Below are 13,832 nucleotides of genomic sequence, written 5' to 3'. Positions count from 1 at the left end.
AATTTAAATATCCAACTTTCAGAGGTCTTATTTTATAGATTGGCACTTAAGACTTAACAATTCAGTTCCGTTTGCAACTCTGCCATTCTCATAATTGTTCATGCCTGATTTTCAGCACTTTGTGGTATAGCTGGAGGAGATGAAGATATCTTTATACATTTCCATTCAAACCTTCCAAGTTTGAAAACATGTTGTGGGTAATAGTTGGCTAACTTAAGCATATCATTCTCTCTTTTCAAAAATTATAAATTAGCTTAGTCATTTCTTCACAATCCTTAATTTTGTCCCCATATCATTCAAGTACTAGAGCTTCTGCATAAGCCAATGCTTTCCTTTCCACCTATAGCGCATTCCTGCTGCAAGTGATGCTGCAGCATGCTAGGAGTTCTAGCCATGTCAATGACAATCAGCCCTTGCTCCCATCTGATGAACGAAAGATCCAGGTTCAGAGTGCCATTCTGAGTGTCTATTTCCTGTGGTCACTGTTAATATCAATTGTTTTCATTTGCATTACTCAGTTCCTGAGCTATGGGTTTGGGAATAATTATTTCATAAGGAATAACCTAGAAGTATTATCGAATGAGGTAATAGGAAGAGTGAAATGGAGACTTCGAAAAAGCCAGTAACATGTGCACTAATTACTCAACAGGGTTCAAATTTAGTTAAAACTTCATTACCTATATAATGAATACTATGTCATAAGGTAGATATGAATACTGTGTCATAATGTAGATAATGAAAGTTTAACTAAATTTGAATCCTGTGTATCATCCAGAATGGTCTTAAGAATAGTTCATCTAAAATATGAGAAATTAGGGCATTTATTCACCATTTCCATCTTTACTTTTTTGGTGGTGGACCCTGAGATATTAAATCCCAATGTTGCGGGACTCTGAGTTTGCAGACACATGGGTTCTTTAGGCAAACGAGTTAAAGAAAACATGACTCATAACTGAGGTGAGACATTGCAAGGCTACATGGAACATTCCATAACCTATAAGAGTTCAAGTAGGTGAGGATAAAATATAAATTATTGAAATTTCAAAAGAAATGTATTGTTGACTGTGATAAGCAACATTTTATTGGAATGATAGGAAGAGAAACCTGATTAAAATGGATTGAAGAGAAGGGGAAATGAAGATATATGACAGGAAGTTATATGACATTCAAAAAATTTAGCGTAATAGCAAAACAAATATGGCAATGATACTATGGTATAATTTAAGGAAAGTAAGAATTTTTCTCTTGTGACACTAGATACTCTTTGAGCTTGGATTCTATAAGAACAATTATGGTTTGAAAACAGAAGAACCAGCAGTTCTTTGATGGACTTATAGTAAGAGTGAGGAATAAACTTTGTTATTTTAAGCCGTTGAAAAAAATTGTGTGTGTGTGTGTGTGTGTTTATATACTTTAAGTTCTAGGGTACATGTACACAACGTGCAGGCTTGTTACATAGGTATACATGTGCCATGTTGGTTTGCTGCACCCATCAACTTGTCATTTACATTAGGTATTTCTCCTAATGCTATCCCTCCCCACTCCTCCCTCCCCCTGACAGGCCCCAGTGTGTGATGCTCCCTGCCCTGTGTCCATGTGTTCTCATTGTTCAATTCCCACTTATGAGCGAGAACATTCAGTGTTTGATTTTCTGTCCTTTTGTTAGTTTGCTGAGAATGATGGTTTCCAGCTTCATCCATGTCCCTAAAAAGGACATGAACTCATTCTTTCTTATGGCTGCATAGTAATCCATGGTGTATATGTGCCACATTTTCTTAATCCAGTCTATCACTGATGGACATTTGGGTTGGTTCCAAGTCTTTGCTGTGGTGAAGAGTGCCACCATAAACATAAGTGTGCATGTGTCTTTATAGTAGCATGATTTATAATCCTTTTGGTATACAACCAGTAATGGGATCACTGGGTCAAATGGTACTTCTAGTTCTAGATCCTTGATGAATCACCACACTGTCTTCCATTATGGTTGAACTAATTTACACTCCCTCCAACAGTGTAAAAGCATTCCTATTTCTCCACATCCTCTCCAGCATCTGTTGTTTCCTGACTTTTTAATGATCGCCATTCTAACTGGCATGAGATGGTACCACATTGCGGTTTTGATTTGCATTTATTTGATGATCAGTGATGATGAGCATTTTTCATGTATCTGTTGGCTGCATAAAATGTCTTTTTTTGAGAAGTTTCTGTTCATATCCTTTGCCCACTTTTTGAAGTCGTTTTTTTCTTGTAAAGTTGTTTAAGTTCTTTGTAGATTCTGGATATTAGCCTTTGTTAGATGGGTAGATTGCAAAAATTTTCTTCCATTCTGTAGGTTGTCTGTTCACTCTGATAGTGGTTTCTTTTGCCATGCAGAAGCACTTTAGTTTAATTAGATCCCATTTGTCTATTTTGGCTTTTGTTGCCATTGCTTTCGGTGTTTTAGTCATGAAGTATTTGCCCACGCCTATGTCCTGAATGGTATTGCCTAGGTTTTCTTCCAGGGTTTTCATGGTTTTAGGTCTAACATTTAAGTCTTTAATCCATCTTGAATTAATTTTTGTATAAGGTGTATAGAAGGGATCCAGTTTCAGCTTTCTACATATGACTAACCAGTTTTCCTAGCACCATTTATTAAATAGGGAATCCTTTCCCCATTTCTTGTTTTGTGTGTATGTTTTGATGGTTGTAGTTGTGTGGTGTTATTTCTGCAGCATCTGTTCTGTTCCATTGGTCTATATATCTGTTTTGGTACCAGTACCATGCTATATGGTTACTGTGGCCTTGTAGCATAGTTTGAAATCAGGTAGAGTGATGCCACCAACTTTCTTCTTTTTGCTTATGATTGTCTTGGCAATGTGGGCCCTTTTCTGATTCCATATGAACTTCAAAGTTGTTTTTTCCAATTCTGTGAAGAAAGTTATTGGTAGCTTGATGGGGATGGCATTGAATATATAAATTACCTTGGGCAGTATGGCTATTTTCATGATATTGATTCTTTCTATCCATGAGCATGGAATGTTCTTCCATTTGTTTGTGTCCTCTTTTATTTCATTGAGCAGTGGTTTGTAGTTCTCCTTGAAGAGGTCCTTCACATCCCTTGTAAGTTGGATTCCTAGATATTTTATTCTCTTTGTAGCAATTGTGAATGGGAGTTCACTCATGATTTGGCTCTCTGTTTGTCTATTATTGGTGTATAGGAATGCTTGTGATTTTTGCACGTTGGTTTTGTATCCTGAGACTTTGCTGAAGTTGCTTATCAGCTGAAGGAGATTTTGGGCTGAGACGATGGCATTTTCTAAATATACAATCATGTCATCTACAAACAGGGATAATTTGACTTCCTCTTTTCCTGATTGAATACCCTTTATTTCCTTCTCCTGCCTAATTGCCCTGGCCAGAACTTCCAACAGTATATTAAATAGGAGTGGTGAGAGAGGGCATCCCTGTCTTGTGCCAGTTGTCAAAGGGAATGCTTCCAGTTTTTGCCTATTCAGTATGATATTGGCTGTGGGCTTTTGTCATAAATAGCTCTCACTATTTTGAGATACCTTCCATCAATACCTAGTTTATTGAGAGTTTTTAGCCTGAAGGGCTGTTGAATTTTATCAAAGGCCTTTTTTGCATCTATTGAAATAATCATGTGGTTTTGGTCACTGGTTCTCTTTATTTGATGGATTACATTTGTTGATTTGCATATGTTGAACCAGCCTTGCATCCCAGGGATGAAGCTGACTTGATCGTGGTGGTGAAGCTTTTTGATGTGCTGCTGGATTAAGTTTGCCAGTATTTTATTGAGGATTTTTGTATCGATGTTCATCAGGAATATTGGTCTAAAATTCCCTTTTTTTGTTGTGTCTCTGCCAGGATTTGGTATCATAAAATGATACCAAATATGATAATGCTGGCCTCATAAAATTAGTTAGGGAGGATTCCCTCTTTTTTCTATTGATTGGAATAGTTTCAGAAGGAATGGTACCAGCTCCTCTTTGTATATCTGGTAGAATTCGGCTGTGAATCCGTCTGGTCCTGGACTTTTTTTGGTTGATAGGCTATTAATTATTGCCTCAATTTCAGAGCCTGTTATTGGTCTATTCAGAGATTCAACTTCTTCCTGGTTTAGTCTTGGGAAGGTGTATGTGTCCATGAATTTATCCATTTCTTCTAGATTTTCTATTTTGTGTAGAGGTGTTTATAGTATTCTCTGACGGTAGTTTGTATTTCTGTGGGATCAGTGGTAATATCCCCTTTACCATTTTTTATTGTGTCTATTTGATTCTAGCCATTGAAAAAATTTTAAACTATTATGGGATTGAGGTGGGGACATCTCTTTGATAAAGACAAAAGAGATTTATTCATTTTGAGTATGGATACTGGTTCGCTGATTGATTTGGTGGTGGATACATGATTAGATGATAATTGAATAATTATGTTTTCTCCGTCAATTATGAGGAACAAGCATCAGATAAATATCAGGAAAATTTAAGGTGTACTGGAAAGTTTAGAAGGAAATGAAGATATGTGAAACAGTCATTTGGCAGAGTGGGAAGTGAGTAATATACTGGGAAATAAAATAGTCTTGTTTGGACCATTGAGTAACACTTTAAGATATCTATTCACTAACTTAAAATTAGATCTGTCACAGTTACTATCTTCAGAAACAAGCAAGAATTTCTGCACACATATCAAAAATATTTTTAAGCAATTTATGAACAAAAAGATTATGTGTGTCTATAAGAGAGAGAGAACATATTTTAAAATATGAAATATTTTAAAACATAAAATATTTTAAATATTCTGAAATATAAAATGTAAATTAACTCGGTGGTAGAATATATTATATATAATATACATATTACATTATATAAATATATATAATCTATTATATTTTTTATTTTCTCAATACTTGAAAAAGCAGGTGTACTATATTATAAAAATGGAGGCAGAGGATTTCTCAATTATTTGTGCATTTCTTTGTAGTGGATTTAGTAACATACCCATTTCCTTTCCTGATACTAATTGTGATGTCAAAACATTTCAAGTTTTCAGCTGTGATGAGATGAAGATGAAAACACTATAGAAAAACGCTCAGCTACTTGCTAACTAGATTTGAATACAATGCTTTCCTTTGTAGTTGTTATTGGCCTAAGGCATAAAGTTATAGTGACTCTATCCCAAAGCCACAGGGTGTATATACATTTTTTTAAATTATGAGATTTGTATTTCTCAAGACTTGTGGAAGTTACCCTGTAAAATAGTTTTCCAATATCTTATGCCTCCATGTGGAAAATATTGGGTATTTTTCTGTTCGTGGTTTGTTTTATCTCTACTGTATTTCATGTTACAAAAATAATTTTTGTATTCTTTTATGTTAATAAAATGTTTATAATATACATGGACTTATTAATTCAATGATTAGAATCTTCTTAATTTAAAGCCATTATTAGACATCTTTCTCATAAGTAAGCCTGGAGTTACATGAAGGAGCCTGGAATATTTTGTACCTCAGTTGAAATACATTACATTTAAAATTATTTTATAAAAGAATGACAAAGGCTGGGCACCAGGGCTCATGCTTATAATCCAGCATTTTGGAAGGCTGAGGCAGGAGAATTGCTTGAATCCAGGAGTTCAAAACCAGCCCGGGCAATACAGGGAGACCTCATCTCTATAACTTAAAAAATATTACCCAGGTGTGATGGCATGCACCTGTGGCCTCAGCTACTTGTGAGGCTGAGGCAGGAAGATCTTTTGAGCCTGGGAGGCTGAGGCTGCAGTGAGCCATGATCATGTCACTGCACTCCAACCTTGGGCGACAGAACAAGAACCAGTCTCAAAATAAAATAAAATAATGGCAATAACCAATACACAAACACACACACACACACATAATTTTTTTCTATGCTTTTGCCTATTTTACCTCTATGTAAAATAAGCTTAGCAAATTGAACAATTTTTAACAATATTTAATTTATTTTATCTTCAAAATTGATTTTGTTGATTTATTAAAGTATGAAGACCTCATTTAAGAGACTTACCTGAATAAAGATGACTAAGAGTGTGGACAGAAGTATGGAAGTACAAGACAATATATTTTATTAGTTAGGAGTGTAATTCTCAACCTTTTCAGTTTGTCTCCTTCCTTTTCCCCCACAATACAACTTACTGTGCTTAAAAATAATTTTGAAACAATTTCAGTAACATAATCTTATAGTTTCAGTGTTATATATATAGTAGGCATATTTTCACTACTACTACTAATTTAAAATTTGCACTCAATTGTATTTAGTAGGTAACCAGTTCAAACTGGCAAAGAGTTAATGAGGAAGATTCTTTATAGGCGAATATCTAAATGAGGTAAAGAAGATAGATATCTTGCTGTTATTTAAAACATTGTAAGTTGATTCTATTAGGTCCTTAAAATATGCTTTACTAACATTGAAAGTTCTTTTTAAAAGCATTATTTTCATATGCCGAAACTCTCTTTAATAACTTGCACACTGATCTTTGGCTGTATGTCAGCACAAATGACAAAGTCAAGTGAATAATAATAGAAAGAGTCTCTATTGATTGGTATCTAGGACAGTGAGACTATTATTGGAATCTATATAAATCATCTTCTCCTAAACTAATGTATGTCTTAGAGCTATAGACAACTTGATAAAAGCTAACTTTAAGAGAAGACATTTTCTGTGTGTCCTTGATGGTATAACTGGTAGTCTAGTTATCACAAAATAATAATGACAATGTTTTGAATATATAAAAAATTATGAATAATGAATTTTGGTTTTAGTTTTTTATAGTATCTTGAAAATAGGAACATGTAATTTATTTTTCTGATTTTTTAGGAACAATTTTTTGTGTCTTATCTAATCCATAATCACATATTTTGAGACATTATATTTTATACCTTTTACATAATTGAATGATGAGGATTAATCTTTCACCAAAATTATTCTTCCTTTGTATTCTCAGTCAGTATTTATTATAAAATTAATCATTATCGAGGTGTGAACTTTAGCTCAGTCTCAATTAGAAGTTTAAAATATTCCTTCATTTTCTGATACAGTGGTCATATAGCATAGTTTTTGTCAATAGTTATAAAAGGAAGTTTCACACGACAATATTTCTGGAATGTATTTAGTTTCCTGGTAACAAAGGCAGATGAACAAGAATATTCCAGTTTTTCAGCCTTTTCACCTATTCTTCCAGCTTATTTTATCCTACAGACAAACATTCTGAATTATTAAAAAAGAAACATATAAAGTAAAATTTAATAACATAATTTAAAAAGCAAGGTTCTTAATAACTTCTTTGGCACTGTGCCAAATATGACATTTCCTATCTTGTGATCTCTAATTATGTAAAACTATTAAATGCCTTTAATATCTGCAATGGTGAGTACTCTGTTATTTGTAACCAAAATCATTTGTAACTGATACTATTTAAATCTCAGGCCTGACCTCAAAACAATAGATAAGAATTTTCTTTAGAATATAACTTGACCATTATGGAGGATTGTGAAAGAAAGATTCATAGAAGATACAAAATGATTAAGTAGGCGATCAAATGATGATTTTTGAGCAAACTTTCAAGTTACAGTTCGTTTCATACTCTATACTCTTTCATAGGCAAGAGTAGAGAGGATGGCTCCCACTAAGTAGCAGTATGCTACGTGATTAAATGATAGCCTATAATTCCCTCAGATCAGCTTCAAGGTTGCCAAGGGCAATAAAAAAAAAAAAAAAACTTAGGAGAAAAAAACATGGAAGGGCACTACTGATGCCTGTGGAAAGCCACAAAGACTAAGCAAGCAAAAACAATTATTTATATGAATGTGTGAGTGAGAGATCTCCTGCAATGAAAGAGTTATTTTCTTAGGAATCCATAAAATGAATCCAGCCAGCACTCTGGTGCTAAGTCATGCTAACAATAGCAATCAAATTGAACGTTTCTTGGACTTTATTTCACTTTCTTGTTCAATTCACCTTTAGATGGCTGTGGGCAATCTATTAAATGAGAGAATACTAGTTTTCTCCTACTGCCTTAAAGTACTATAAATTTAAAAGCTTAAAATGGTACCAATTTGTTATCTTGTTTGCAGATCAACAGTATGATATGGCCTCTTTGGGCTAAAATTGAGGTGTTAGCCGGACTGTTTTTTATTTTTTATTTATTTTAATTTTTTCTGGAGGCTGTATGGGAGAAGCAATTTTTTCTTCCAGCCTCTATTCTGCATTCTTTGGCTCATGGCTTCCTTTTTCCATTTTTAAAGCCAACAACGTTGTATCTCTTTAGTCCTTCTTCCATCTTTAACTTTACCTCTTTCTAACTCTCTCTCTTTCTCTCTGTCCACAGTCAGAGTTTACAAAGTCACAGTTTACAAAAATGCTAAACCTTTACAATTTTTATAAAGTGATTACAGTTGAACTCCTGAAAATACACACTAAGGTATAACATAAGGAAAGAAATGTTAAGGCCAAGATATTTTCCTATTAACGATATGATTTAGACATTTGGATAAATGTACTTATCATTATTAAATGCATATTAATCTATTTAATTTGCCACAGCCTTAACTTTGCATAATATAGTGCAAAATCTATACTGATATAAAGAGAAATTCGTGGCTCAAAAACTCAACCAGTTTTTTGTTTTTTTTTTTTTTTTACAAAAAAACTTACAAAAGCTTAGAGAATCGAACTTTGTGGAAAAATAGGTGTAGTTTAAAAAATCATGCCTGATATTGGGCCCCGAGCCCGCGGGGTTGTGCGGCTGGTAGGGATGCCGACCCTACCGAGGAGCAGATGGCAGAAACAAAGAGCAACGACGAGGAGCAGTTCGAGTGCCAGGAACTGCTCGAGTGCCAGGTGCAGGTGGGGGCGCCCAAGGAGGAGGAGGAGGACCCCGGCCTGGTGGCCGAGGGCAAGGCCATGGGCTGCCGGCTGGATGTTCGATTTCCTCTGCCTCTCTCTTTGCGGAGCTTTCCGCGAGGGCCGCTCCGAGGACTTCCGCCGGACCCGCAACAGCGCAGAGGCTATTATTCATGGGCTATCCAGTCTAACAGCTTACCAGTTGAGAACAATATACATATGTCAGTTTTTGACAAGAATTGCAGCAGGAAAAACCCTTGAGGCACAGTTCGAAAATGATGAACGAATTACACCCTTGGAATCAGCCCTGATGATTTGGGGTTCAATTGAAAAGGAACATGACCAACTTCACGAAGAAATACAGAATTTAATTAAAATTCAGGCTACAGCTGTTTGTATGGAAAATGGCAACTTTAAAGAAGCAGAAGAAGTCTTTGAAAGAATATTTGGTGATCCAAATTTTCATATGCCTCTCAAAAACAAATTGCTTATGATAATCTCTCAGGAAGATACATTTCATTCCTTTTTTCAACACTTCAGGTACAACCACATGAGGGAGAAAATTAAGAGTTATGTGAATTATGTGTTAAGTGAAAAATCATCAACCTTTCTAATGAAGGCAGCAGCAAAAGTAGTAGAAAGTAAAAGAACAAGCACAGTAACTTCTCAAGATAAACCTAATGGTAATGATGTTGAAATGGAAACTGAAGCTAATTTGGATACAAGAAAAAGTCTCACAAGAATCTTTTCTTATCTAAGTTGCAACATGGAACCCAGCAACAAGACCTTAATAAGAAATAAAGAAGAGTAGGAACTCTTCAAAGTACAAAAAAGAAAAAAGAAAGCAGAAGAGCCACTGAAAGCAGAATACCTGTTTCAAAGAGTCAACCGGTAACTCCTGAAAAATATCGAGCTAGAAAAAGACAGGCATGGCTTTGGGAAGAAGACAAGAATCTGAGATCTGGCGTGAGGAAATACGGAGAGGGAAACTGGTCTAAAATACTATTGCATTATAAATTCAACAGCTGGACAAATGTCATGTTAAAAGACAGATGGAGGACCATGAAGAAACTAAAATTGATTTGCTCAGACAGCGAAGACTGTGTTTGTAAAAGCTTGATGAAAGGACAGTTAAGTATTTTGATCTCTGCATTTTATTTGAAACTTGTGTCATTGATGTATTTTAAAACTTTTGTTTAGAGCATTACAGTATTTTTCTGTGACCATCAATTAATATGAGGGTTTGTGCTATAAAAGTTAAAGCATATGCTATCATTGTATTCTTTAAGAATCTTATTTTGATAAAATGTAAATTTGTTGAACCCTGCCACATTTAGTATCCCCACCCCCAAATCCTGTTCCAATGAAAAAATTAAAACCTGATACGAAAAAAAAAATTCAGTTAACCTATTTTGTGTCTGTAGGCTGACCTCAACCCTGTAACATAACCCATTAAAATGAATTTTCTTTTTTTTTAAGACAAGAGTTTCTCTCTGTTGCCCAGGCTGGAGTGCAGTGGCGCAATTTCAGCTCACTACAACCTCTGCCTCCGGGTTCAAGCAATTCTCCTGCCTCAGCCTCCTGAGTAGCTGGGATTACAGGCACACACAACCACGCCCAGCTAATTTTTGTATTTTTAGTAGAGGCGGGGTTACACCATGCTGATCAGGATGGTCTCGAACTCTTGACTTCATGATCCACCCACCTTGGCCTCCCAAAGTGCTGAGATTACAGATGTGAGCCACTGCGTCCTTCCTAAAATGAATTTTCTAGATGATTGAATAACAGTAGTCCTTTGATAGGAGATAATGACTTGGTTTATGGCCTTAATATACTACTTACTTACTTAAGATGTTTATTAATAGAATGATAAATGTACAGAGTAACCTATAAGCATGACATACTTTTGCTTTCAGTAGTTTCATGTAAAGAAAAAAACTTGAAAATAGTAATACCTGAGGACCCATGGGAATAATAGACACTGGGGAGGTAGGGAGGGGAGCAGGAGCAAGAGCTGAAAAACTACCTACTGGGGACTCTGCTCACTACCTGGGTGACAGGATCATCCGTGCCCCAAACCTCAACATCACACAGTATACCCAGCTAACAAACCTGCCCATGTGTTCCCTGAATCTGAAATAAAAATTTAAATAATTTTTTTTAAAAAGAAAAAGACAATAGTATTACCCATGGGACAAAATTTGTACTATTAGCAAGAATCATTTTGTGTCTCATTTAGAAACAATTTGACTTTTGTTCCAGTGTTTAAACTTTGACAAAAATGGTTTTGAATAGATCTTTATAACCTGATACCATAAATAAAAGATTCTCTGATACCTTCATTTAATATATCAATATTGGGCCTAAAACAGTATTCTCTAAAGCTTAAATTGTTATTAACTATGATCTTCTTGATATCTATGATAGATAATAAACAAGATCATACATACCTTACTAAACAATTTTGGTTTTTCACCAACATTTTATTCTTTAAAAATTTAGACTAACAGAATTATTTAGCATTTTGAGTCATGTGCTTTATTTATCAAGTGAGTAAAAATATTGTACTATTGAAGTATTTGCATAAAAAATCAAATGGTAGTGTTTTGTAATCTCTATTGTATTTCCTATTAAGGTTTTATATATTACTTTCCCATTGTTCCTGAATTTGTTATCCTGTATATAAACAGAAACATGGATGAGTTAAAAAAAATCATGCCTGATATTGTGTAAGATGTTAAGATAAACAGGCTTTTTGTTGTATGGGGATTCTTTAGTATTTTCACTTTTTTTTTTTTTTTTTTTTGAGAAGGAGACTTGCTCTGTTGCCAGGCTAGAGTGCAGTGGAGCGATCTCGGCTCACTGCAAGCTCCGCCTCTCTGGTTCACACCATTCTCAAACTTTTCTATAAATGTAAAAGTATACAAAAATAAAAAGTTTACTGCAAATGTAAAAGAAACAAGTAGAATTAATGATGTAGATATTAAAATATCTATAAAAGAATGAGTTTAGCATGGTACTGGTACCAAAACAGAGATATAGATCAATGGAACAGAACAGAGACCTCAGAAATAATGCTGCATATCTACAACTATCTGATCTTTGACAAACCTGAGAAAAACAAGCAATGGGGAAAGGATTCCCTATTTAATACATGGTGCTGGGAAAACTGGCTAACCATATGTAGAAAGCTGAAACTGGATGCCTTCCTTACACTTTATACAAAAATCAATTCAAGATGGATTAAAGACTTAAACGTTAGACCTGAAACCATAAAAACCCTAGAAGAAAACCTAGGTATTACCATTCAGGACATAGGCATGGGCAAGGACTTCATGTCTAAAACACCAAAAGCAATGGCAACAAAAGCCAAAATTGACAAATGGGATCTAATTAAACTAAAGAGCTTCTGCACAGCAAAAGAAATTACCATCAGAGTGAACAGGCAACCTACAAAATGGGAGAAAATTTTCGCAACCTACTCATCTGACAAAGGGCTAATATCCAGAATCTACAATGAACTCAAACAAATTTACAAGAAAAAAACAAACAACCCCATCAAAAAGTGGGCAAAGGACATGAACAGACATTTCTCAAAAGAAGACATTTATGCAGCCAAAAAACACGTGAAAAAATGCTCACCATCACTGGCCATCAGAGAAATGCAAATCAAAACCACAATGAGATACCATCTCACACCAGTTAGAATGGCAATCATTAAAAAGTCAGGAAACAACAGCTGCTGGAGAGGATGTGGAGAAATAGGAACACTTTTACACTGTTGGTGGGACTGTAAACTAGTTCAACCATTGTGGAAGTCAGTGTGACGATTCCTCAGGGATCTAGAACTAGAAATACCATTTGACCCAGCCATCCCATTACTGGGTATATACCCAAAGGACTATAAATCATGCTGCTATAAAGACAAATGCACACGTATGTTTATTGCGGCATTATTCACAATAGCAAAGACTTGGAACCAACCCAAATGTCCAACAATGTTAGACTGGATTAAGAAAATGTGGCACATATACACCATGGAATACTATGCAGCCATAAAAAATGATGAGTTCATGTCCTTTGTAGGGACATGGATGAAATTGGAAATCATCATTCTCAGTAAGCTATCGCAAGAACAAAAAACCAAACACCGCATATTCTCACTCATAGGTGGGAATTGAACAATGAGAACACATGGACACAGGAAGGGGAACATTACACTCTGGGGACTGTTGTGGGGTGGGGGGAGGGGGGAGGGATAGCATTGGGAGATATACCTAATGCTAGATGTCGAGTTAGTGGGTGCAGCACACCAGCATGGCACATGTATACATATGTAACTAACCTGCATATTGTGCACATATACCCTAAAACTTAAAGTATAATAATAAATAAATAAATAAATAAAAATAAAAAATAAAAAAAAGAATGAGTTTAATAAAATATGAAGTAAAATTTGGGAGATTGTTTGTGTGTGTGTGTGTGTGTGTGTGTGTGTGTGTGTGTGTTTGAGACGGAGTCTTGCGCTGTCGCCCAGGCTGGAGTGTAGTGGCGCCATCTGGGCTCACTGCAAGCTCCGCCTCCTGGGTTCATGCCATTCTCCTGCCTCAGCCTCCCGAGTAGCTGGGACTACAGGCGACCACCACCACCCCTGGATAATTTTTTCTATTTTTAGTTGAGACGGGGTTTCACCATGTTAGCCAGAATGGTCTCCATCTCCTGACCTAGTGATCTGCCTGCCTCGGCCTCCCAAAGTGCTGGGATTACAGGCCTGAGCCACTACGCCCGGCCAAATTTGGGAGATATTAATTTATGATTTGGTAGTCAAGCTTACATCAAAGTTGATCTTAAATGTAATTCCTTTTATCAGTTCAGAAAACGATGACTCACTTCTTAGAATAATTTGAGTTTACTTAGATTATTTCAATGCTTTGTTATAAAATTTCTTCGGTAACCAGGGCC

The 13,832-nt window shown here is 35.5% G+C and overlaps 1 pseudogene; it reads left to right on the top strand.

Moving 5' to 3' along the window:
• On the top strand, positions 8,747 to 11,615 carry TERF1P3 (TERF1 pseudogene 3; annotated as a pseudogene).

The sequence above is a fragment of the Homo sapiens genome, chromosome 4 (genome assembly GCF_000001405.40).
Source record: "Homo sapiens chromosome 4, GRCh38.p14 Primary Assembly".
Classification (NCBI taxonomy): domain Eukaryota; kingdom Metazoa; phylum Chordata; class Mammalia; order Primates; family Hominidae; genus Homo; species Homo sapiens.
Note: the sequence above shows the minus strand (reverse complement) of the source record. Positions and strands in the feature narration are given on the sequence as shown.